The sequence below is a fragment of the Homo sapiens genome, chromosome 7, assembly GCF_000001405.40.
Source record: "Homo sapiens chromosome 7, GRCh38.p14 Primary Assembly".
NCBI classification, from domain to species: domain Eukaryota; kingdom Metazoa; phylum Chordata; class Mammalia; order Primates; family Hominidae; genus Homo; species Homo sapiens.
In genome coordinates this window covers 2,122,486-2,147,100 of record NC_000007.14, presented here as the reverse complement: position 1 = coordinate 2,147,100, position 24,615 = coordinate 2,122,486, and the positions used below count along the sequence as shown (strand labels likewise).

Here is a 24,615-nt window from a genome sequence, read left to right as displayed (position 1 = left end):
CGGGTCTCAGTGCTGCTTGCTGGTGGGTGGACACTTCCCGACCAAGGCTTTCTGGGGCCTGGTGACGCTGAGTGCCTGGCCCTTTTGTGCACTTCCAAGGCCCAGGAAGGAGGCAGACCCTAGGACAGGCAGCGCTGGCAGTGGCCAATGAGGTGTGGATGAGTCCCGTCGTGGCCTTGGTGCTTGCGTTCTGGCCTCTGGGCTGCTGCTCTCTTCCGTGGCGGGACACCGTGTTCGTCGCGGCCTGCCGTGGCGGGGTCAGGGAGCCTCGCACGGTTGAACAGCTGAGCACATTTCTACAAGTCTCTTACAGGCAGTTGGACAGAAATTCAGATGAGCGTGAAGGAGGCGGCATGGCAGAAGATGGGAGGCCACGGTGGCCCAGATCCCCGAGGGCTTTGCCAGGCGGGCCTCATTTTAAAGTCACTTTTGTTTGTTTCTCATTGAAAGTAGCTTGTAGTCACTGAAGAACAGAGCCCTGGTCCAGCTGAGGTCACGGGTCATGAGAGCAGCTGCTGGGCATTTTCCCTCGTCTGTGCGGACCAGCGGGCACGTGCTTGTGACCACGTATGTTCTCCTCTGCAGTTTTTACCAAGTATGTTGGCCGTGTCCATCTTTCCCTGGTAGTGAACGCTGTTCTCGCCATCTGAGGAGCTTCTCAGGGTGCGGCTCCACTGCCCTGTTCCTCGTAGCCCAGTGCCCGGTGCTCCCTCTTCGAGGCGTTGCCCTGTTCCTCGTAGCCCAGTGCCCGGTGCTCCCTCTTCGAGGCGGTGCCCTGTTCCTCGTAGCCCAGTGCCCGGTGCTCCCTCATCGAGGTGGTACCCTGTTCCTCGTAGCCCAGTGCCCGGTGCTCCCTCTTCCAGGCGGTGCTGCTGTGACGGTGCCGCTGGGGTAGCTCACGTGGCAGCATCTCGGAATGCTTGTGCCTCAGGCCGAGCTTCTGAAGTGACGGCTGGGTCATTCGTGTGCCTGTTTTCAGGAGCTTGGCTTTTAGAAGATGAATGTTGCCTATCAGCCGGCGTAGTGTGCCGCTGTGAGCAGCCTACACCACGCAGTCTTGATGCACTTCCTGGGTGTTGTGTAACTTTCCTTCTCTGCTGATCTGATGTGCGGAACAGAGCGCCCTTCCCACAGTCGCTGTCTTGGTGACTTGGTGTTCCTTTCACCAACATGACACATGTCCACGTCCGTGAAGCCAGAAGCCAGCAGGTACCTCAGCAGGTCCTGTGGGTCGGGCTCCTCTGCGGAGTTCCTGCCGTTGCTGCCTTTTTAAAGTTTGCCTCAGTTTCTCTCCATAGTTACTGCAGTAGCATTCCAGCCTGTTTCAGGGAGGATCCTGGAGCTCTCCCACCCAGAGGAGTTCCAAGGTAGGGAAGGCCGCCCAGGGAGGGTCTGATGTCAGCTTGCCGTGCAACCTGGTGCAGGAAACAGATCATCCCGCAGTGAGCAGATGCCGAGCCGGAAGCCATCACCTCCCTTGTTTGAGGAAGAGAAAATGACACCATATCTCGGAGTTAGCTGCTGGGCCACCAACCAGCCTGGAGCAAGAAGGAATTTTCCTAGCATTGAGCTATAGTTTTGACCCCTTTTACTGGTGAAGCACAGTTCCAAACGCTGCTGTGAGCTGGACTGAAGTTTCTGTCTGAATGTTTCTGCGCTCTTAGGACTGGAGGCTGGAAGCCCCACGGTGGCACCTGTGCTGCATTCTGGTCTTGGGGCTGGAGTTGGTAGAGGCAAGAAGCTTCTGGAACTCTCAGTGTAGGACTTACTGCTTTCCAGGGTTGCGAGGAGCCTGCTTGTTAGCTTTATGCGGGTTTGCTCAGGTGCTGCACTGGAATTCCTGTCTTACAGCAGAGAGAGTGTCTGTGGGGCTGCTTGAGGATTCAGCGGGATGACGTTGGTAACGTGCCTGGTGCAGCAGCTCTCGGCAGTCCCCGGGACGTGGTGCTGTGACGAAGGGTCCGGGGCTGGCTGTGGAGCCAGGAGCAGGCAGGGCTCTCAGTGGGCAGCGGGGCAGCCTACAGGGCACTGGCCGTAAGGCGCTCCAGGAGGGTGGGGTGCTTGAGTGCATTGCAGCCTGGGGGTTGGGTCAGAACCACCAAACCTTGCCTCCTGTGTGTTTCTCCCTTCCTTTAGCCGTGGACAGATGGGGCGTCATTGGTCACTGGTGTGAGCAGAGCGTGTCAGAGATCCTGGGCCTCTTTACCTTGGAGCAGGAGCTTCATGGCAGTGTAGGGGAGCCTGGCCTGGTTTACGCTCAAGCCTCGTTTCGGCTCTTAGAATCTGAGAATGGACCTCCTGGTTGTGGGGCTGAGGACAGGGCATACTGTTCAGAATCAGTGGGTGGATCTGGTGCGCCCTCTGCTCACGCTTCACACAGGGCACCCCGGGGCTGCCCTGTAGCCTCCCTTCCCTTTCCGGGCCCTCTTAGTCTCCTTGGCCCTTAGGGACCCAAGCACCCCTCTGCCTGGCGTCCCCAGCTCTGCCGTGGGAAGAGCCGGGACAGGAGGCTGCAGTCCTCTGTGGCCCAGCCCGTGGCCATGCTGTCATCTTTCAGATCTGGGGGGGAATAGGCCAGCGTGCTCTGAGGGCTCGTGAAGAACAGGGCTGGGAAGCTCGGGCAGGGATGCGTGGGGCCATGCTCTTGGCGGTTTCTCTGCTGTGCTGGAAATAAGACCGTGCTTTGGAGAGGGCTGGTGGCGGGAGCGGGGCCTCTCAGGACCCCGTGAGGGCTCCAGGGTTCAGGTGTATCATCTGTAATCCCGGCGATGAATGACGATGGGGACGCTGAGAGCAGTCAGTGTTTGTCTCGCATCTGCCCTCACCATGCGCTGCGCTGTGCTTCATGCGCAGCCTCTCACTTGAGCCTCACAGACGCTCCCAGCTGGAAGCTCTTATGATTCCCTCTTTTGCAGGGAGGAACTTGAGCCCCGGGCTAAACAGCTGGGAGGTGGTGAAAGCAGGACGTGCGTCCAGGCCTGTGGGTCTCCAGAGCTCTGTGGGATGTGTTTGCAGGTGGCTCCTGGGTCCCTGTGGGACACGTTGTGTGGCTGCCGTCTCGGCTTTGGCCTTGCTTCTCTGCCTCAGCAGAGACCCTGGGTCATGGATCCTGCCTGGTGCTGTTTTGCCTGTTTGAAGCCCCAGGCATCCTCCTCGATGCTGACTTAAGGTAGAGCCGGCTGAGAAGTCCACAGAGGGGAGCCCCTGAGGGCCGTGGATGCAGATGGAGCTCTTCATGTTGGGGTCTGCCCTGGCCTCCCCTGCCTCCCCTCTGTGCATCGGCTTTCCCAGAAGTGCATTCCAGCCTGGGCTGTGATCGCCGCAGTTTGTTTTGAAGATCCCACCTTGCTGCCTCCAGGCAGAAGAGCCCTTGGCCTGAAGCCACAAGGCTGGCATGTCCTGGAGCACCTGGCCGTGTGGTGCTTCCAGGTGCCTGGGCCTGGCCTGTTTCATCTACTGCTGCCATCAGGGGCCTGGGCAGCGTCAGGAGGAGTCAGGCCCTTGTCAAGCATAAGGGACTCGAGAGTCATTGGGTGTGATGAGTGGATATCACCATGTTTTCTGTCACAGACGGTGCTTTTCTGAGCCTCTTCCTGCCTCAGGTTTCTGTCACCTCCCAAGAGTGAGTGAAGATCAGTTTACTAGTTATGAGTCTTTCCTGCTGTTGGTCCCAGGTGGTTAGGCCGTCCTCTCAAGGACGTAACAAGGCCTTGTCACCTGGCATCTGAATTATGGTGCACTTGAGTCATCCAGAGACCAGCAAGGCATACGAGATCCATGGTGGCTGGGCTGTTCCCCTCTTGCACTTGAGGGGCCTCCCGCTGGAGAAGCCACCACTGGCCCAGGTTCCTGGGGCCTGTGTTTGCATTTGGCTCTACCAGGAGTGGCTCTCCGAGCGAGTCTTTCTGGTGATGGTGACTCCTGTTGGGGGTTTTGAGGCTCAGTGCAGTCGCCTCTATGGAGCCTGTGGACGGTGCTGGCTCAGGGTGCAGGTTTTTAGCTAGTCCTTGTCATCACTGGCACCGTGTCCTGCTGTCACTTTTTGAGGTAATGGGAAAGTACAATTTCTGGGAGCCTTCAGGGCATGGCAGGGGTAAGTTTTCCAGGGGACTCTGTGGGGCAGGATGTCTCCTGTGTGTGGCCAGTGGTGATGATCAGACGGGTTAGGCGGTGGGGGCATCTGGGAGGTCAAGGTGACGGAATTTGCCGTGGATCAGTGTGGGTGAGAGAGCACATCGGGATGGCCAGTTCTGGCCTGCCCTTGAACTGACCATGGCCTCAGCCATGTGTTCCCAGCAAGTCTCATGCTCAACCTGACCACCTGCTCTCGGCATAAGGGGGCCCCTGGGGTTTGACATGGCCAGAGGCCTTGTTGCGTCCGTTCGGCTTTGGCGCCACTCGATGTAAATGGTCTTTGGCAGAAGGTGTGGAATCAGCCTGAGTCTAATGGGCTGTCTCCATGTATTCCACGGTGGCAGCCTGCCATGCCTGTCTGGTCCAGGGCTGTGGCAGGGCACGCGCCAGGAGCTCTGGGTGGCACCGTGCCCTTCACCGTGGGCTCAGTGGCAGCTAGGGGCGCTCCGTCCGGCAGCAGAGAACCCGCGTGATCTGTCTGTATCCTGCTCCTGTCCCCCTCTGCCCCTTGTGCGTCCCATGTGGGGCTGGTCCCAAGAGTTTCTCCCGCAGCCCCGGACCATGCCTGGGACGCACAGTGCACCTGCGCCATAGAGGCCTCAGCCCCCAACCCAGCCCTGCACCAGGGGACAGCCTTTTGAGGCTCCTTGTCTGTCTCTAGAACGGGGCCCTTGATGGCATCTGCTTTCCTGTGGTGGTTCCAGTGCGGATGCTGGCACGTGCCTGCCTTGTTCTTTGGCGAAGGCTGCTCGGGTTAGTTTGGCTAGTGTGGGCCCTTTGAAAAGCCGTCTCTCTCGTGAGTCAGTTGTCTGTCTGTAGGATAGCCCCAGTGAGCGGGTTTTTGGGGAAATGTGAGGGACATCCCTGTGCCTGGGGTCTGGCACCATGCACTTGAACATGGACCCCTCAGTGAGTCAGGTGCCCCAGAGTGCGCTGCTCAAGGTGACAGGGGAGCAGGCCCATTCTGTGCTCACGGCTGTGCGGTCCACCTGCTGGCCGGTGATGGCTGCCCCGGCGACCCTGGCCTGGCTGGTGGCCTCTGCCTGTCCTTTTGGTTCTCAGTCCCCCTCTCTTCTCCACTGGGACTTTAGTAGGAAAAGAGGACTTGGCGGCACCTGTCCCGGGAGCCAGGCCATGTGGAGGAGCTGGGCCTTCCCCAGGCTGTCTGTGCGGCACCTGCCTGCAGTGCCCAGACTTGGACGTGAGATGGTGCCTGTGGCATGTGCAGCCGCCCGCTCCTCTGTGCTCAGCTTAGAACCTCCTCGTGGGGCCTCCTCAGCGGGGGTGGGTGGGTACCAGGCCTGTACATTTTGTGGCCAATTAGAGGGAGAGAGAGAAGGGGGGCATGGCATGGAGATGTCTGGGTGAGCGGGCGTCTGTCTTGGGGCCTCCCTCCCTCATGCGGTGCCTTCTTGTTCCTCCAGTCCTTTCCTGATCAGGGCTAGTGAAGTCCCGGGTTGGGGGACATAGACCCGGTGCCCATCCTGCCAATGCCGGGTTCTCTGTGGCCCCCCAGTATGGTCTGGGGGCCTGTCTGAGGCACCATCATGTTTCAGGCTGCAGCTGGCTGCTGGGCCTGAGATCGAGCCCCATCTCTCCTGAGAGGGGGTCCAGCCCATCCTGGCTCCAGGGGAAAGCCTGGGTCATCAGCAGGCATGGTCGGGTGTCATGGCTGTGCCCCGCAGCACGCGGTGTCTGCCTGCTTGGAGGGGCCTCCGCAGTGGGGCACTGCGTGGCCCTGTAGGATGCAGGCAGGCTTTGGCAAGGCTGGCCCTGCTCTAGGTGGGTGTCTGAACCTGTTCCCTCCCCAGGCAGAGCCCGCAAGGCGAGCACACGCTCCTTCATGACGGGGCCGGGTCCAGCGTCCGCTGCCGCTGGGCTCTGGGGTCTGTCCGGGGTGCCTCCGCCTGCTGCTTTAGCCAGCTTGTGTTGCTTCTTTCAGCAAGATGAGCTGCCGTTAATATTTCACACCCAGACTGTTTCCCTGAATGTTTTGCATTTCCATATTTAAAATGGCATTTACATATTCATGGCTTTTTAAATAAGTTTTTATTGTTAAGGGATGTGGAAGTGGATGAAATGTGAAACTCCCCCTTTTATTCAAGCACTAGAAAAAAATTTCATCCCAAATGCAATCACTTTCTGAGTGTTTAGCTCTGTGGCAGTTGCCATAGGAGATTGTTCCAGAAGCCAGTGGGTCCCAGGGCCATGGAGCCGCCCTTTCTGGCATGCAGGGACTGGGGGAAGGCAACTGCCATCAGCATTGCTTTCCAGCCGAGGTTGGGCATGGAGGCCTGGTTGCTCCTTGGGGTTTCTCCTGGCGGGGGCCTGGCCTCGTGCTGGGATGCGGGGCCGGCTCCCACCCACATCCATGGCTCTTGTTTTGGAGGAAGTGTCTAAGGCAGACGAGGCTCTTCATCTTGGAAGTGGCTAAGCCAGGGATGCCTGGCTTCTTTTCTCCCTTCTCCCTGGTCACTCGGCGTCCCTGCCCTGGTTGGCCTCTTGCTCCCGGCTTTGCGGCTGCGGCTGCAGCTAGGGCCTCGGAGGGCCATTCGGCCCTGGTGCACTCTCCGATTCTGAGGCGTGGAGGGTGGCACCGGCACCCTTCACCCTTCAGGGTCCTTTGAGGGTCCTGTGTAAGAACATGTGCAGGGCGGACGGGGGCTGCTGGAGGGGTGCTGGAGTCACTGTTTTACGTTTGGGCAGTGGTGAATGTGGCTGAGCCTTTGCCTCTGGGACACTGGCCTGGGGAAGGCCCAGAGGAAGCCACCAAGGATTGACAAGAGTGGGAGGCCTTGGGAGAGGCGTCTGCAGGGGCCACCTGGGCTTGGACGCTGTGTAGGTGATCTTGAGCCAAGCACAGGTCACAGAAGGATGCACGTCCTGCAGGGAAGTAGTTGAGGGCTTTGGAAGCCTGGCCACCTGGCCTGTGGCGTGCTGTGCTGCAGTGGAGCAGGGCAGGGACTGGGGGGGGGCGGGGTCCAGATAGTAGACCATAAAAACAGGGAAACTGAGGCCTGTGGGGGGAAAGAGACTCTACTTGGTGGAGTGAAGCCTAGAGCATGGATTTTTCTGATCTGTATTGTTACTTTTTAATATTTTTAGGCATAAAATTGTTTTTTATCATCTCAGGCCTAAACCACCCACAAAACCTTAGCCTTGAGGGTCGGGGGAAGTGTGGTCCGAGCTGCAGCTGGCCTCTCCACGCAGAGCCCCTCACACTGGCCCCTGCTGGAGCCATCTGGACGGGGGTCTGCCGAAGCCCGGCTTCCTCCCCCATCAGCCTTGAAGGAGAGTGGCGGGTGTCCTCTGTGGCTGTGGAGTTCTCAGCCTTGAAGGAGAGCGGCGGGTGTCCTCTGTGGCTGTGGAGTTCTCAGCAGTCTGCCTTTGGCCCCAGCCCCTGGCAGCTTCTCCCAGCATGAGTGTTGTATTTTCCATACTCTCAGGGTGCTGGGTCATTGGTAGTGTCTGGTTCCTCCTGAGACCAGAGGCAGGACACAGAGCTCAGGGCTGTGGCCCTGGGGGCATGGCTGGGGGAGTCACCTTCACTGCTGAGGGTGGGGGGCATCTCAGTGTGCGTCCTGGGGCCCGCAGCGCTCCCGCCTTGGCAAGCCCTGGACTGCAGCCTGTGAGCTCAGAGGGAGGGTGGTCCCGTGAGCTAGGGTGGGGTGGGGGTGCGGGGAGGGTGCTCCCATGGGTTGGCTGAGAGTACATTGCTGGCTCAGGGGGTCGGGCCGTGTGATCCCCGTGGCAGCCAGGGCTTAGGCTGTGGACATGGTGTGGGGTGCTTCCTGGGGGTTGGGCCCTCCTCACAGTCCTCGCCCTGTCTGGGTGGGCTGGCCACACAGGAGGGTGAGGCTGAGGCAGCCTCGCCTGCTCTTCCTCCTCGCCTCTGGCCTCGGTACCGGGGCGTCTGCTGAGGAGGAAGACCGCTTGTCCTGCTGGGACCTTGGGCCTCTCCGATGCATGTTGACTCCAGCTGAGAGGTGTTCTCCTTGCCTGTCCTGCTTTTCATCTGGAAAATCAGGTCCAGGACTCTTGCTTTGCAAGATGAGTGGAGAATTGAAGATTTCAGAAGTTCCCAACATCAAGCAGGTGCTCAGGGAATGGCGGCATTGTTTGCAGGAGTGGGGTCTGTGGTCTCTGTCACTGGGTCCTGCTCACTTGACCCCCGAGCCTTTCTTTCCTCATTTGTATTAGGGTCAGTTCCACCCTCAATGGGTTTCTTTGAAGGGTATGTGCAGCCTGCCTGGGGGAAGGCAGCGGAGTGCTGGCCTTCCTCTCAGTGCTTGCTTGGCCCCTGGGCCTGGGGTTCTCAGAGTGAGGTGCTGCAGGCGATGGCGGTGTGGCCTTGAGAGCGGGGGAGGCCCCATCTGCTGCTTCCCCTCCGGCTGACTTCTCCTAACAAGCCGGAAGTGTGCGTCTGGCATTCATGCCCCCAATCCCCACCTCTTGATGTGGTTCCTTCCGTTTTGTCAGTAGGATCTGTTTTCAACCTCTGCATGCTGAAGTGCTCATCTCTCTAGGCCACTTGGTCTGGCGCCCACCTCGTCGTGGTTCTCAGGATGCCTCATTTCATTAGGCTGAGTGGCTCTGGACTAAGTGCACCTGCAGAGCTGACCGCCCCACCGCCAGCCTGCTGAGCGCTGCCGCAGCCAGGACGGTGGCCAGGGAGCACGTCCCCTGGGGCAGCAGATGCATCCCCTTCCTTTCTCCTTCCCTTTGGACCCTGTATGCACCCCTGCATTCTCTCACCCTCTTTAGCAAGTTAAAAAAAAGCTGGCATTTCCTCCCACCCCCATGAAACCCTTTGTAACAGCAGTCTCAGGTCCGCAGTGTCAGGGGCTGCCCAGTGGTGGTGAGAGCGCAGCGTGGGTGCAGCCCTGGTGAAGGGCCTGGGACTCACAGCTCTGTGCTCTGATCATGGGCTGGCCCGCGCTGTCAGTACAGAAACGCCCTGTGAACTTCAGCTGCCATCATGGCCTGTGTCGTGTGGCTGGTGTCGTGTGGCCCTCGCATAGTTATCCGACATGGCACCGTCGGCACAGAAACGCTCTGTGAGCAGCAGCTGCCATCATGGCCGGTATCGTGTCCTCGTGTAGTTGCCCCATACGTCCACCTCCTGCTTGGCTTCCCCTCTTTGGAGCCTCCAGGGCCAGAGGAGCACAGTTCAGAAACTGCTGGTCAGGAGACCTTTCCTGGAGAAGTTTCTGTTCCGGTTGTGGATCTGGCCTGTGTGGGAGCCTGAGGTGGCATCTTTGAGGTGACCCGGGACCATGGGGAAAGCGCTCTGTTTCCTGGCTGAGGTTTTCAGGCAGTGCCATGGCACAAGCCTGTCTGCACCTGGGGCTAGAGGTGGCACGTGCAAGTCACAGAAGGGAAGGAGGAGACAGCCTGGGCCCCTCACTCACCTGGGCCAGAGGTGGTGTGTGCAAGGTGCAGAAGGGAAGGAGGAGGCAGTGTGGGCCCCTCACTTGCATGGGCCAAGCAGACCGGTAACATGCCTGCCGCTCTGTGACGTTTCTGTTAGAGAGCGGAAGGTGTCTGACCTCAGCTCCCCAAATCAGAAAACGGCATCTGGAGTGCCATATACGTTTGAGAAGAGGGTGCTTGGGTCAGTTCTGTCCTTTGCAAGCGAACATCTTTCTTGGCCCCCAAAAGGTGGTAGTAGAATGTAGATTTCCTCAAACATTTGGAGAAAACACAGAAATGAATACTACTTGAATGTTGTTTATTGTTGCTTCAGGAAGAGAATAGGGAGATGGGAGAAGGGCCCTTGCTGGGGTTGGTCCCTAAGTATTTTGGTGCCCTGAACTTCTGTTTCCTTGCTTATTTTGAAGGGGTTTGTGTGAGCCTAACCCCAGGAGAGCAGCCCACACCCCACAGCGGAGCCTAGAGCAGGGTCAGGGCTGCCAGGAGCTGCTATCTGGGGAGACTGAGGTGGGGTCCTCGAGGCCTCCTCTCTCATGCCCGGCACTGCCAAGCCCAGGGCATCATCAGTGGACTTGGGAGCATCCTCTTATGAACGCTTTTCTTGAGTTTCCCTGTAACTTGTTGTAAACTTTGTAAGCTCTGAGCCAAGAGCTTCCTTCTTAGCCTTGAAGCTGGCCACTGCCGGCTCCTTTCCATGCCGAGCTGGGATTCTTGGTGTGCAGGTGTGGAGAGCAGCTCCGGTGCCATCAGGCGATTGGAGTACGCTTTCCTTCCTTGTTTGGCAGAACATAAAATCAGTCTCAGGCCCTCCCACCATGGCCTCCACTGCTGAGCCCCGAGGAGATGCCAAGAGATGGGAAGGGCCCCCACCGAGGAATGCAGCTGGCTCAGAGTCTGCCTGTGGAGAACAGGAGCCCCTGGAAGGGGCAGGCTTTGGGCAGGTGAGTGCACTTGGTCTGAGGGAGGGTGTTGGTGTTGCCAGCATCCTGAGCTCGAGTTGGTGCCATAGACCTGGGAGGGTCTCTCGATCCTGTTAGGAAACTTGGGTAAGAGAGTCGGAACAAAGAAACATCCACTGCTAGGCACCTGTGGGTACCAGGCACTCCACACGTGTCCCCCTGCCCTGGCACTGATCCTGCCTGCTGGCGGGGAGCCTCTCGCTTTGCCCCAGTTTCCCCAAGGTTGTGGAGCCACTCAGCCTGGAGTCTGCTTGTGAGCTCAGGGCTGGCTGTCTCCTAAGCCTGTGCCCTCTCACCACGTTGCCTCTCATCAGGGCGATGCTTTTTCAAGCTCAGATATCACAGGTCGCTTCCGCAGGGCATGAAGCCTCTTAATGCTGACCCTTTTTTAATACTGTGGCCGAGAAACACAGTTGCGCAGAGTCTGCAGGAGGAACAGTGTGGACGTGGCTGTGACAGGCATTTTTGGTCAGCGTGGGGCAAGTGCGGCTTCCTGTTTCTGTCTCATTGAGCTTGGAGTGGACATAGGGGCTCTAGGAGAAGGAAGGCTGTGACCCCTGCCCTGAAGGAGCTTTCCCTCTGCCTGGGAAGAGAAACCAGCAGTGAATCCCTTAGGGGACTAGAGAGCGTTGGGCCGCGTGGTCCTGATCATGGCCACGCTTCCCAAATGCCTGGCTGCTTGTGAGTTATATGGCGAAAAGAGCCTGAAAATAGAGATCCTTGGACTCACCTCCAAAGGCTCAGATTCAGGTCTCTGCTGAGGCCGTTGCTCCCTTCATGAGTGTACTTTCCCTTGGGCCTGGGACATGTGCACACACGTCACCATGAGAGGTGGCAGGCAGGACTCCCATATGTGGCCGTGAGAGGTGGCGAGAGCTGGTGGGCATTGTCCCGAGGGTCGCTGTGAGAGCTGGGGGGCAGGAGGCCCGGACATTGCCCACCACCTGAGCCTTCCTCTGCACCAGCATTGCCCTCACTTGTCAGTCCAGGCCCCTTTAATGATAAACAATTACCGAAAACAAAGAGTTTTTATTTGTGGGGAATCATAACTATCAGTATTTACCATCTTTGGAAATTAAAATTAAAATTAAATCATTATTTACAATTATATTTATAATCTCATTAAAAACAATTCATTATCACTTAACAAAATATATTTATGAAAAATGCATTTTCTAACACAAAACGAGACAGTGAGAGGAATGGCATTGTTTTTTACTTTTTACAAATCTCTTCAGTGTCTGGTGAAATAGAAGATGGGAGCATCTCGTGTCTGCGTCCATCTGCCACGGTCTCTTCTTTTGGAGTCTGTGGAATAAGTCTGGCCCCGCACAGGTGTGCAGTTGGAAGAAGGAGGGCCTAGTGGCCTGAGGGCCCCACACACAGGTTCTGCTCAGCCTTGCCTGCTGGGTGGGTGAGGGCTGAAGGCAGGTGCGCTCACCGTTCCTTCACACCTTTCGTGGCTAGTCTTACCTTTCTGGGTAGTGTTTGCTCAAAATTCTGATTAGATTGTAGGGGGTGTTTTTTGTGTGTTGAACATGAACATCATTAATGAACGTCAGTCATTGAATGTCTGGGAAGGTGTCCTCAGTTCTGGTTTTTCTGGAAACGGTGACTCATGTATCCTAGAAAAGGCCCACTTTGCAGCATTCCGGGCAGTTGAAGGAAGATGGCTCAACCCATAAGCAGCAGAGCTGACTTCTTTCAGGTGTTCTTGCCCTAGATGAGCAGCAGGGGTGTCCCTGGGGCCTGGAGATCATGCCCACCTGATTTCTGGTGGAGCCAGGAACTTGGGCAGCCACAAGTTGCTCTCTGAGAACCCCACAAATCCAAGACTAGTCCTTAAGAGAGGGTGGCCTCTCCAGAGACGTGTGCAGCTGCTGGACACAATTGGGCTCTGGTGACTGGTCCTGTTTAAATGGGCAGATTTTTCTTTTTGTTGTCATAGAGAAGCTAATTTCTTATTACTTGTCAACTATTTCCGTCTTAAAACCAAGTAAGAAACTAGAAGCTTTCTCGCTAAGATCAGGCACGAGGCAAGGAGTCCCACTCACCACTCCTATTCGCTGTCGTACTGGAAGTACTAGCTATAGTGCAGTAAGACAAGAAGAGGGAATAAAGGAAGGAAGAAATAAAACTGTCTTTGTTTGCAGATGACATGATCGTCTATGTAGAAAATTCTGAGAACTAACAAAAGAACTTGTAGAATAATGAGTGGTGAGAGAGAGCAGGGTATGGGCCATACACGCCGTCAGCTGCTTTCCTGTGTACCAGCAACAAGCAGAGGGAATTTGAAATCAACACCCAGTACTATTTACATTAGCACCAAAAAACAGTGTAGACACAGAGACCGGTACAGGTTATGTGTGAGGAAATCACCAGACCTGATGAAAGAAATCAAAGCCGTAAATCAATGCAGCGGCATTCTATGTTCACGGGTAGGAGGAGTCAATATATTATCAGTTCTCCCCAGAGGGTCTGTGCAGTCCCAGTCAGAATCCCAGCAAGTTATATTTGTGGATATCAACAGATTCTAAAGTTTATATGGGAAGGCAAAAGATGGCAATGGCCAGCACAACACCAGTGAACAACACCGGAAAACTGACACTCCCCGACCTCAAGACTTAGCGTAAAACCACAGTGATCAAGGTGGTGCGCTGTTGATGGAAGAATGGACGAACAGGTCTGTGGAACAGGTCAGAGAGCCACGAGATAGACCCACACAGATATACTCGGCTGATCGTGGACCGCAGAGCAAAGGCAGCTCAGAGGAAAACGGTCTTCTCAGCAAATGGTGCTGGAACAGCGGAACAGCCACAGGGGAAAAATCTAGACACAGACCTTACACCTTCCTCAAAAATCAACTCAGAGTGGATCACATACCTGAGTGTAAAGCACAAAACTTTAAAACTCCTAGAAGATAGCGGCGGAAATATCTAGCTGACTCTCAATTAGGCAGTGACTTTTAACGTACAACACCAAAGGCACAGTCTGAAAGAATTGATGAGATGGACCTCGTTAGAGTTGGAAATGGCTGCTCTGCGAAGGAAACTGTTGAGAATAAAAGGAGAAGCCCCAAATGGAGAAAATATTTTTCACCGTCATGCAAAAGACATATCTGATAAGGGCTGTTATCCAAATTATACAAAGAACTCTTCAAACTCAGTGGTAAGGAAACAGACCACCCAATTAAAAAATGGGTGAGCTCTGAACAGGCGCCTCACCAAAGCAGACACGCGGGTGACGGAGAAGCACGTGCGGAGATGCTCAGCATTGAAAATGGGTGAGCTCTGAACAGGTGCCTCACCAAAGCAGACACGTGGGTGACGGAGAAGCACATGAGGAGATGCTCAGCATTGAAAATGGGTGAGCTCTGAACAGGTGCCTCACCAAAGCAGACACGTGGGTGAAGGAGAAGCACATGAGGAGATGCTCAGCATTGAAAATGGGTGAGCTCTGAACAGGTGCCTCACCAAAGCAGACACGTGGGTGACGGAGAAGCACGTGAGGAGATGCTCAGCATTGAAAATGGGTGAGCTCTGAACAGGCGCCTCACCAAAGCAGACGCAGGAAGGGGGAGAGCAGGGAGACGCCAGGCTCCCTGTAACAATCATCTCTCCTGGTAACTGATGAAGTGAGGACTGCTCTTCAGCATGAGCCGTCATGAGGGACCCACCCCCATGGCCCAAACCCCTCCTCTCAGGTCCTGCTTCCAATCGTGGGGATCAGTTGTCAACCTGAGATTTGGAGGGGTCGGGAACCACACAGTAACAGTGTCCTTCCATGGGTGAATGGATAAAAGATGGTATGTCCATTCACTCAAATACTGTTCTGAGCTAAAAAGAAATGAGCTACCAAGCTGTGAAAAGACGTGGAAGAATCTTAAATATATATTGCACAGTGAAAGAGGACAGTCTGCAAAGGCGGTGTACTGTGGGATTTCTCCTCCGTGGTATTCTGGAAAAGGCAGAACTGTGGACACAGTAAAAAGATCGGTGGTTGCCAGGGATGGACAAGAGGGATGCGCAGGCGGACCCAGAGGATTTTTGGGGAATGAACCTACTCTTCACGCGGCCGTGATGGTGGACACGCAGTCGCACGCAGCAGTGGACCGACTGCACGCGGCCGTGATGGTGGACGCGCGGTCGCACGCAGCAGTGAACCGACTGCACGCGGCCGTGATGGTGGACGCGCGGTCGCACAGGGACTGCAGACATGCGTTCGTCTAAACCCGAGAATGTAAGACATGACAAGTGAGCCCACGTGTCCACTGTGGACTTGGGTTCATCAGTTGTAATGAATGGACTGCAGTCGTGCACGGTGCAGGGGAATCTGCCTGGGGGCTGAAGGGTAGATGAGAACTCTCATTTCTCCTCAGTTTTCCTGTAAACCTATAATTGCTTGAAAAAAGAATATCTGTAAATTTAAAACAAAAATTAGCAAGTAAGATGAGGCTAGAGAGAGCTGTCCCAGGGGTCAGATTGAGACAAAATGCAGTTGGGGCCAGCTTCCTCCTGAGTCAGCCTCACTGACTGCTTGGAGAAGAGAGGGACCACGCTGAGCGTCAGGAGGCAGCGCCGCGGCGGGTCTACGAGGCACATCTTTCACCAGCCTTTCCATTAGAGGCACCTGAGCAGCCCTCCATCATTTCACGTGTGCATGGTCAGGCCCTTGTGGGGGGCTCACAGGACTTGTGTGACTGCCAGTTGCCGAAAGAAGGAAGCAGGTCCCTTGTCATGACCAGAGAGACCCCAGGTGCGATGGCTGTCACATCCTGCTGACCTTCCCAGCCTGAGCCAGCTCGGGCCAGGGTGAGGACAAGGGCTGATGGGGGCTGAAGGGCACAGAGCACCCCTGGGGAGGCGTGTGGGCCTGGGGGACACACCTGAGCTGTCCCTGTTGCTGCTCTCTGGATGAGAACCTGGGGGCCCAGCTGGTGCAGGCACGAATGTTCCAGCACATTTGTGAGGATGAGCTGGGAGGCCTTGAGCAAGGACACCATCAGTGCCTGCGCAGAGGTCCCCTGGGACTGACAAGCTCGTCGGGGAACAGAAGCAGCGCTTTGAATTTTAAATTGGTTAAATTCCTTTTCCTGTCACAGTCTCAGCTGCTCCCTGTTTCCTTAGAGAGCCAGGGAGTTTAGTGTCCTCTCATCTCCATGCTCTGCCAATTTTACTGCCTTTCCGTATTTCCTCACCATGAATAGAACTGATTTTATGGTGCGTAAGCCATTTTTAATGTAGCCTCTCATCACAAGGTGGAGAAGTGAGGGGGATTGTGCCTCTCCAGACCATAGTACATGCGTCCCTTCTGTTTTTAAGCATTTGGGCCAAGACTGCCTTTGCAGATTCCTGAAGTGCCTGGGATGAGTGTTTATCGTGTGCAGGGTCCGCTCTGGGGCCCGAAGAAGGCTGACACGCTGCTCATCCATCTCTTGAAGGAGCTCATAGTGCAGTATGTCAACCCAAAATACTCCAAAGCGTCCGAATCTAGTTTAAAGAGAGCTTATTCAAGTGCAAGGTTCTTCCAGGACGGCCACCAGGGAAGCACAGATTCCAAAGAATGGAAGTCAGTGTTCCGAAGCGTGGAAGTTCCGGATCATTCATGTAGACAAGTTTAGGGAAGCTTAGCAGATCTCAGCATCCTTCTGCGAGAGGCTTAATGCATCATTAGAAAGATCGGATTCGATGCGGTGGCCTTTATCTTTCCGGGAAGGTTGATTTGGCATTCGCACTGAAGATGTAGCAGGCATCTTGTGCCATCTGGTCTGTAGGTGCAGGACAGTGAAAGAGGCAGTGAATCCATCACAAAGATCGGTGACTGGAAGTGGGAGAGGTGTGGTGTTTGGTCTCTCCTAGTTATTTACGGAACAAGAGCTAAGAGGAAGAGAGAGTCGCGGACACGCTCCCAGCTTCGGCCTCCGGGGCTTAACTTTTTCCCCCTGGCATAATAAACTGAGAGGGTCCTGACATTTTATTTTCTTTTACAAGTAGGAGTGATAGGACACACCTTTGGAATTGAGTTTATGTTTGGAATCATTGGGGTCCCAGAGAGAGAGAGAGGCCCAAGACTATGTGGGAAGCTGGTCTCCTTTCCCAGACCTGCCGCAGACGACGTAGAGAGTTAAGCTCTGGCCTCTCAATTGCTTCCTTATTCCAAATTTCTCGGTCTGTTCATCTGGTGTGCCCCTGGGGAACTCCTGGGAGTTGGGGGCTGTAATGGCGTGGAGAGAGCTCTGGGCTTGGGGACTTGGCCTCGAGGTGCTGTGTGTCCAGGCTAGCTTTTCTCTAGCCCCAGGACGTGGTGACTGAAATATTTCAGCGGGGAGGCACCTGAATGCTGCTGGCACAGCTCCCTGGACCTCTCAGGTGAGCTCCATGGCTGCGCCCAGCCAGGCACCTGCTGCGGGCCGAAGGCAGGGCAGGGAAATCCAAGAGGAGGGCATTTGCCTCCTGACATGTGGAGGTGCTTTTGATGCAGTGAGGCGCATCGGGGCAGCCAGGTGGCATTTCCTGCACCCACTTGGTGCTGGAGTCTGTCTGCCTGCCCAGGTGCTTTTAACCCCATCCCTGCCCCTCTGTTGGGTAGTGTTTTCTTCACCCTTCTGCTGGGCCCCAGAAGGACAGCTTTTTGGACTGGTTGGGAGCTTCCTGGCAGCGGGTGCCATGGGAACCATGAGTCCGTCTGCACCTGCTGACCCAGCTGCCTGCCTGTGTGCCCCTCCGACGGTGGTGGCTGTGTTGTGCACCTTCCTTGTGTGTAGACAGGATCCTGGGGGAGGCCGTTGGCTCGAGCCTGGGGTGCAGAGAGCACTCCTTGGACTGTCTCTGACATGCGTGTAAAAATAACTGCATTTGTTTTTCTGATCTCTGGGCAGAAGCTCGAGCCTGCGTGTCCAGCTGTGTCTGTCTTGCCACCTTGCTCTCGTCAGGGAGACCATCTTTGTTAGACAGGCAGCCTCCAGAGGGATGGGATCGTGTGTGTGCTCTCTCCTCATGACGGGAGGCACCTGGGGTTCCTGTCCTGCTGCCTCGTGTGTGACTGGACTCTGAGAAGCGCGTGTTCCTCGCGTCCTCGTCACTGGCAGGTGACGGATTCAGACCCACGGCAGGAGGGGCGCTGCCTAGCAGGAGCCGTGTGGACAGGAGCCGCCGTGAGCCTGCTGGGTGGCTTGGCCTGCTCGTGCCTGTCCACATTCACAGTCCCGCGGAGACAGACCTTTTACTCTTCTATACCTGCCACAGCACATTCAGATGTCCACAGGCAAAAACCTGGGCTTTCCCTCTTCCAGGCGTCTTGTTCTTTCACTCCCTCCCTGCCCCCTGGCCTGCCTGGTGTTGGCCTGCTGCACATGTGAGCTGCCTGGCGGTGGGTTAGCCCTGGTGGCCCCAGCTCCCCCGGGATCCTGCGGGCCCCTCATGGAATGCGCCTGCCCGGTCCCTGCCCCTTCCAGCTGGCTCTGGGACTGGAAGGAATTTCCGATCAGAGAGCTGCCTGCCCACAAACCCAATTTTGTCCTCGTGGTGGGGTCGTGCACCACCTCCACTCTGCCCAGTTGGTCAGCGCCAGCAGCACTCCCCATCTCCTCAAGGTCCAGATGCCCTGAAGCCTTGGGAAGGTCTGTGTCCCCCTCTGGCTTTTCTCCTCCTCCCTGTGGTCCGTGTGCCTGACTGCCGCGTGGGAAGCCTGAAGGTGTGGGAGCAGAGAGACTGCAGTGTGAGCTGAAGATGGGGCCTTGTGCTCCTGGGGAGGCGTGGTGTGGCCTGACGGGCTTGAGGGTGGCCGAATGAACCTTCTGAGGGCAGGTCCCAGCAGCCACCTGTCCTGTCCCCAGGGTGAGAAGGGCAGAGGGAGCCGGTTTCAGCCCCTCTGTGTCCCCGCCAGGATCCCTGCAATGGCCAAGGCCCCAGCTGAGCCTTCAGCCCTCTTGCAGACACATCGTGTTTTCTGCTTTGCCGCTCATCCTTCCATGTTACACAGCCTCTGGTGGCGTGCCTGTGCCCTTTGCGAGGCCTCTGGGTGTAGGGACTCCCGTCAGGGCCTTCCCTCAGGCAGGGCAGGTCACCTGGCCTCTCCTGAACGGCCATCTTCCAGAAGCAGCCTTCCTGTTCGTGTTCTGTGCTTTTTGTGACTCCCGTGCTGATGAGCGAGTGTTTCATGAACTCTGAACTGCCTAGGTCTTTCACGGTGGTCTGGCCTCCTCCGCCCTCTCTTTCTGGCACCAGGGCTGCATTTCGGGGACTCTAGGCATGGATGGCCCTGCCAGGTTTCAGTAGTGCTGTTTGGGAGATGAGAGGTGGCTGAGCTGCTGATGACAAATGCGATTCAGTGACAGAAAATGCAGAATAATTAGTCTGGGACCAGAGAACTCTAAAGAATGTATGCAAACCAGGACAATTGTCCGGCTTCATGAGAACCATGTTAATTTAGAAATAATCTGGGAGGGCGTCAGCAGCTCCTCAACAGGGGATGAGGCCGGACCAGAGCCCGAGTTGATGAGTTGTAACCGACGACTGTGATTTAAAAAGCGTTTTATTTATCGAATGTCTCTCAGTGTCAGGGCCTTTCATCCATTTGTTCTCATCATGAAGTTCCGAGAGGTGGACACTGTCTTAATCTCTCAGGTGCGAGCAGAAGTCTCTTGCTTGAGGTCACAGCCGCTGGTCGGAGTCAGTTCAGACCGGCTCTGGGGCCATTGCCAGCTGCGTGCCTGCGTGGGTAGTGGGGTTCTGAGGCCCCAGCAACTCCACCCTAGGCTTTCTCATTCCTAGCAGGCGTCTGCTCCCCTGACGCCCACAGTGCCGGCTGCTCTTGCACGTTTCCCGGAGTGCAGGGGTCTTTGGTGGGCGTGAGATTGTAATTGCAGGTGGGTTCCTGCGGGTTCCTCCTCTCCGCAGGTGGGTTCCTGTGGGTCCGCTCCTCTCTGCAGGTGGGTTCCTGTGGGTCTCCTCCTCTCTTGCCTTTTTTCCCCACCCTAGACCCCAGGTCGTTTCTGCTCCCTCATTGCCCACCTACACCAGGTTCCTGACGTCTGGACCTTGGTCTTTCCTACCGGTCGGTGTGGTCGGGCCCGCTCCCCCGTGTGCAGCTGCTCCTCCGTGGCACAGCACGAAGCAGCTTCCCAAGAGGCTGTGTGTCCATTGCCCTCAGGAGAATCCCCTCTGGAGCAAGTGTGCTGGGCTGTCCCTGCTGCCCTCTCCTTGCCCCTTGGGTGCTCCATCAGGGGCCCCACTCTACAGCCTCCTGTGTCTTGCTGGGGCTGGGTGAGTTGCCGCTCCTTTGTGCCCCTCTGATCACTTCAGATTTTCGTCCATCTCCCCCTTGTCATAAGTAGGGGAGGGCGGGGACGTCTTCTCTGTGGCACTCCCATGACTAGCAAAGGCCCGTGGGCTCATGCCAGCCCTGAGCACCTCTCTTCTGGAACAAGCGGGTCAGGCCAGCACTGTGGAAGACTGTCCCCAAAGTGGGGTCACTGAGAGGCCCCCTCCAGGAGAGTGTTCAGATGTCTTCATCCCACCCGCGTCTGCTCTGTTCTTCCCTGGGAACGAGGCCTCGGATGTGCTTCGTGACTGAACTCACACCTGACTTGGCCCGCTGGCTTTATCCCAGGTTCTCAGTTGTAATCTGCCGTTGTTTAAAATGCCCTACTGGATACATAGAAGCATTGCTGATCAGCTGATTTGCCTGGCAGTGTGAGAGGGGGTTATTCATTCTGAGGTCTGTGGTTTCTAATGAAGCCCGACCCATGGGGACAGTGTCAGTGAGCACCTGCCTGGCGGAGGCTCGTGGCTCACTGCAGGGTTGACGACAGGTGTAAAGCTGCCCAGCGGTCACTCTGCTTCCTTGCAGAAGGAACCTACTAAGCTGCATGTTTAAAAACTCTGAGTGACAGAAGAGGCCGGTCCCCAGAGATGCTCCTGGGCCTCCTCACACTGCCTTTCAGAGCTGGGCTGGGCCTGGGTTGTGCTTGGTCCCAAGGAAGGCTGGCGGCATCGGCCTGTGTCGATTCTTAGTGGCCATATGGTGCACAATCATTGTGCCTGGCCTGGGCTGTCAGGTCAGGTGTCCCCGCTGCCCCCCAGGCCTGAGGGGGGAAGATAGCTCCGCAGCTGTGCACAGGACCTCCAGGCTCCTGGGGTCCAGGCTGGGGGCCTCCAGTGGTCTGGTCCACATCTGCTGCCCTGGGGTTCTGCCCTTTCTGTGCATGCCCGAGTGCCTGTGTGTTTATTGAAAATGGAATTCGAAGCTGCCCTTGTTACCATCCCCTTCTAGGTGGAGTCTTCAACCTGGGGCCCTCCGAGGGTTGCACTCTGTGGGCGTCCCCCGTCCATGGGCCGCGCACTGAGCCTTGCCTGTGTCTGCTCTCGGCTCCCGAGACGCTCTCCTTCATCCTGCCCGGTCTTTGCAGGAACCTAGGCCATATGGCAGAGGTGCCATCCCTCGCTTCACAGGAGGGCCGCCTGGCAGGAAGTGGCAGTGAGGACCGAAGCCTGGGTCTGTCCCCGAGTCCACTGCTCCAGCGCCCCGGGCTGCAGCCCCACCTGTGGAAAGCAGCCCATGGAAGATGACCCCTCTCCAGGAGGCCGCCTGGCCCCACTCACTTTCTCACCTGTGGCGCTGTAAACGTGAGGAGGCCCAGGGGCCAACTGGCTGCTTCCTCAGATGCCAGTGCTGGCTCAACGCTTAAAACAGACGCGTAAGCTGACTTTCAGGTAGTCCGTTCTCCTGATTTTAAAGCGGGACAAATGTCAGGAGTCTCTCTTGATATTGTCTCCTCAGTTTATTTTTCAGAGCTGTGGTAAATGACCCCAGGAAGCCCTTAGCTGGAGGTGGGAGCTCAGTCTGAGCTGCAGTTTCTGGAGCACTCGTGCTGCTTGGTGTCTGGGCGCCTGCCTCTGGGTGAGAGGGCCAGTGGCTCACTGCCCTGTTTGGAGTCGTCAGAAACCTCGAGCCAGCCTCCTGCCGGTGAGGTGCTGCCTCACCTGGTGGGGGTTGTAGCTAGAATTGGGTTTGCCACAGCAGGCCCTCGCTCACCTGGGCAGATGAGAACTCGTAAATATTCAAAGGATATCTCAGATGCCCTGTTACAGTCTCATCCTGAGTGTACGGTGGAGCTCGCTCACCAGGCTGCGGAGACATCACTACCCATTGTTTTGAGCTGTCGCCCGGGGGACACATGGGGCCAGCATGAGGAGGAAGGATGCGTGGGTGGCTCGGCTCAGGGCTGCTGCTTGTGTCCTCTTTGTCCCCACCTGGGCATCTGTCCAGTCATCAGAAGGGGCACCACCCCCACCCACCTTGTCAGCACCTGCCTCGTGGCGCCGCCCCCACCCTTGGGTCCAGGACCTGCTGGAGTGCACCTGGCAACAGTGGCGGTGACTTGCCCTGCTGCTGCTGTGCCACTGTGGGCTGCATGACCCGGGGTCTGACGCAACCTTTCTGTGGCAGGTCCTGTGTCTGTAAAGTGCAGCCCTGACAGCAGGGACTTCCTGGGGTCGCTGTGAGGACCGGATCCTTAGTGTGGGCCGGGAGCCCAGCAGGGAAGGGGCCCGGGATGCAGAGCAGGAACCACCTGCATCCCTGTGCCCTCAGCCATGCCCATGTGTGTCCTCCGTGCTCACTGGTGTCTCCTGCCCTGGGGCTGGAAGGCCGCCTGCAGCTCCTGCACCCTTCTCAAGCTCCAGGGAGGCCCGCTGGCATCACTGGCCGAGCCCCTGCGTCCTCCTTCACCCGGAGGTGCCTCTGTTGTATGTGATGTCACCGTGCTTGGCACTGAGCAAGGCTCCTGAATTCAGAGTTTCTCCCACAAGCGCCGGGCACCCAGGTGGAATGGCTGTCTCCTGACCCAGAGGAGGGTGGGGCAGGGTGGGCCTGGCCCTCCCGGGGTGTGTGAGAACCCAGCAGGTCTGCCCCTGGGGAGGCGTGGAGCCCCATACGCTCCTTGCCGAGCTCAGAGCGGGGGCTTCGTGACCTCCTCTCTGCCAGAGTCTTCCTAGCCATCCTGCCCTCACTGCACCCCTGGGCAGTCTGCCTCTGTTGGCTGGGGTGGGCCACATGCAGGCCGGCTGTCCCCTCAGGCTGTGGGTGCAGCTGTTTCCTCACTAGCCCTGGTAGCAGGCAGGCCTTCTGCCCACTCATCTCCCAGGTCTTCTTACTCTCTGTCCTGGGGGAGCCTGCTCTTCCTTTCGGCACGTTGGGCTCTTCCCAAATCAGTTCCACGCCCCGTGGTAGTTCCACACCCCCGTGTCTGTGCGTTTTGCTCCTGGGCGAGGGTCTTTGGAGCCCTCGTGCCCCTGGAGTCTTGGAAGAGGCCTGTCTGGGTGGGCTTGCCTCCTCTCCATGTCTCGACCCTTGTGGGTCCTGCACCGCTGCCCGATGGCCTGCCCCTCCTGCCTTGCTGCTCTGCGAGTTGAGCAGGGGCGTGGCGTGGCCTCTGACCTGTGGAGAGCTGGGGGCTCCCGGCTGCATCTGTACTGGGGGTACTGAGAGCCTTCGCCTTGCTCCTGGAGGTGTTTGCCCGGCTTCCCCGTCTAGAGGAGGAGCCTGACCTGGCTACAGGGGGCTTCCCAGGAAGCAGAGTTCTTGCCCCCGGGGCCTAAGCCCCCGCCCCTTGCTGCCTGGGCTGCCTTTGCTTGTGTGCAGCCTTGCAGGACTCTGGTGTATTTGGAGAAGCTAAAAAGCCCTTGCCAGAGCGGAAAAGGGCGCTGGCTAATTGGCAGCTTTATTTATTTATTTCTGGCTTGAGTGGTAAACAGCGCTGATTCTTTGCACAGCAGGAACAGATTGGGAGGCATTTACCTGACTGATTCCTCACCTGCAGCACCACGCCGCCGGAGGATCTATCGATTCAGCGCCGCCTGCGAAGTGCACTCTGAAACAGGCTTAATTGCCTCCGACTCGCTTCCTGGTATCGCATGTCCCCGTGAGTCCTCGCTTGAGGGCTGCTGCCCTCCAGCGGATTGACGCCTCCCATGCGTGCCCTTGGCGGGGCTGGCTCCTCCTGGGTGCTCCCTGGGTGGACTGGGGTGCTCTCCTGCTTGACAGGGAAGGAAACCCTACCGTCACCAGCTCAAGCGCAAACAGAGCCCACCGGGTGTCAGCCGCCCTCACACACAGGACCAGGGCCTCACCAGCGCCCTCTCTCCGTCCTGCACCCCAGCCCAGTTTCGCTTGCTGGGAGCCCTCCCGCAATGTCTCCAAGCTGTAGCGTGCAGTTTCATCTCAGTCCCTGAGCTGGCTGAGCTCCCCTGCTGCTTTTTTTTTTTTTTTTGAGATGGAGTCTCGCTCTGTCGCCCAGGCTGGAGAGCAGTGGCCCGATCTCGGCTCACTGCAAGCTCCGCTTTCCGGGTTCATGCCATTCTCCTGCCTCTCAGCCTCCCGAGTAGCTGAGACTACAGGCGCCCACCACCACGCCTGGCTAATTTGTTGTATTTTTAGTAGAGATGGGGTTTCACCACATTAGCCAGGATGGTCTCAATCTCCTGACCTCGTGATCCACCTGCCTTGGCCTCCCAAAGTGCTGGGATTACAGGTGTGAGCCACTGCGCCCGGCTCCCCTGCTGCTTTTTAAGCCAGACTCAGCAGAAGGGAGGCAGGTGAGGTACCGGTCGCCTTGATAATACACTTCTCTACCAGGGCAGGATGGGCAGACGGTGACGGGGAAGCTCACCTGGGAGGGGCGCTGGGTGGACGGCGGCCGTCACCACCCACACTGACGCCATGGCCTGCACATGTGCAGCTCTGGACAGATCCTGCGCCTTGACTTCCCAGCTGCGCCTGGGGGTGAGCTTTAGCAACCCTTCACCCGTGCACCTGCACAGGTGGCAGTCGTGGCTCTGGCACTGGGGCTGACTTGCCAGCTGCTTGGACCAAGGCTGCATCCTTCCTGCCTGAGTCTCACCTGCCTGGAGCAGGCCAGCGTCAACTCCCTGGTTTGTGATTCTGGGACCTGGTGATTGGCTGTTTTTTTTTTTGAAACAGAGTCTCGCTCTGTCGCCCAGGCTGGAGTGAAGTGGCCTGATTTTGGCTCATGGCAACCTCCGCCTCCCGGGTTCAAGTGATTCCCCTGCCTCAGCCTCCCGAGTAGCTG

The 24,615-nt window shown here is 57.1% G+C and overlaps 1 protein-coding gene across 5 annotated transcripts in view, besides 6 other annotated features; it reads left to right on the top strand.

The window, feature by feature from the left end:
- Positions 1 to 24,615, top strand: part of MAD1L1 (mitotic arrest deficient 1 like 1) — a 417,151-nt gene that overhangs the window by 85,845 nt on the left and 306,691 nt on the right. The window lies entirely within an intron of this gene.
- Positions 6,534 to 7,139: an enhancer, noted in NCBI's record as "H3K4me1 hESC enhancer chr7:2179597-2180202 (GRCh37/hg19 assembly coordinates)". NCBI's record gives its function as "activates a minimal SCP1, AML or CMV promoter by ChIP-STARR-seq in primed H9 embryonic stem cells {active_cell/tissue: H9 hESC(primed)}" and the evidence as "EXISTENCE:reporter gene assay evidence [ECO:0000049][PMID:30033119]".
- Positions 8,441 to 8,580: an enhancer, noted in NCBI's record as "active region_25508". NCBI's record gives its function as "activates an Ori minimal core promoter by ATAC-STARR-seq in GM12878 lymphoblastoid cells {active_cell/tissue: GM12878}" and the evidence as "EXISTENCE:reporter gene assay evidence [ECO:0000049][PMID:35858748]".
- Positions 17,160 to 17,757: an enhancer, noted in NCBI's record as "H3K4me1 hESC enhancer chr7:2168979-2169576 (GRCh37/hg19 assembly coordinates)". NCBI's record gives its function as "activates a minimal SCP1, AML or CMV promoter by ChIP-STARR-seq in naive H9 embryonic stem cells {active_cell/tissue: H9 hESC(naive)}" and the evidence as "EXISTENCE:reporter gene assay evidence [ECO:0000049][PMID:30033119]".
- Positions 17,758 to 18,355: an enhancer, noted in NCBI's record as "H3K4me1 hESC enhancer chr7:2168381-2168978 (GRCh37/hg19 assembly coordinates)". NCBI's record gives its function as "activates a minimal SCP1, AML or CMV promoter by ChIP-STARR-seq in naive H9 embryonic stem cells {active_cell/tissue: H9 hESC(naive)}" and the evidence as "EXISTENCE:reporter gene assay evidence [ECO:0000049][PMID:30033119]".
- Positions 18,356 to 18,954: an enhancer, noted in NCBI's record as "H3K4me1 hESC enhancer chr7:2167782-2168380 (GRCh37/hg19 assembly coordinates)". NCBI's record gives its function as "activates a minimal SCP1, AML or CMV promoter by ChIP-STARR-seq in naive H9 embryonic stem cells {active_cell/tissue: H9 hESC(naive)}" and the evidence as "EXISTENCE:reporter gene assay evidence [ECO:0000049][PMID:30033119]".
- Positions 22,910 to 23,410: an enhancer, noted in NCBI's record as "H3K4me1 hESC enhancer chr7:2163326-2163826 (GRCh37/hg19 assembly coordinates)". NCBI's record gives its function as "activates a minimal SCP1, AML or CMV promoter by ChIP-STARR-seq in naive and primed H9 embryonic stem cells {active_cell/tissue: H9 hESC(naive and primed)}" and the evidence as "EXISTENCE:reporter gene assay evidence [ECO:0000049][PMID:30033119]".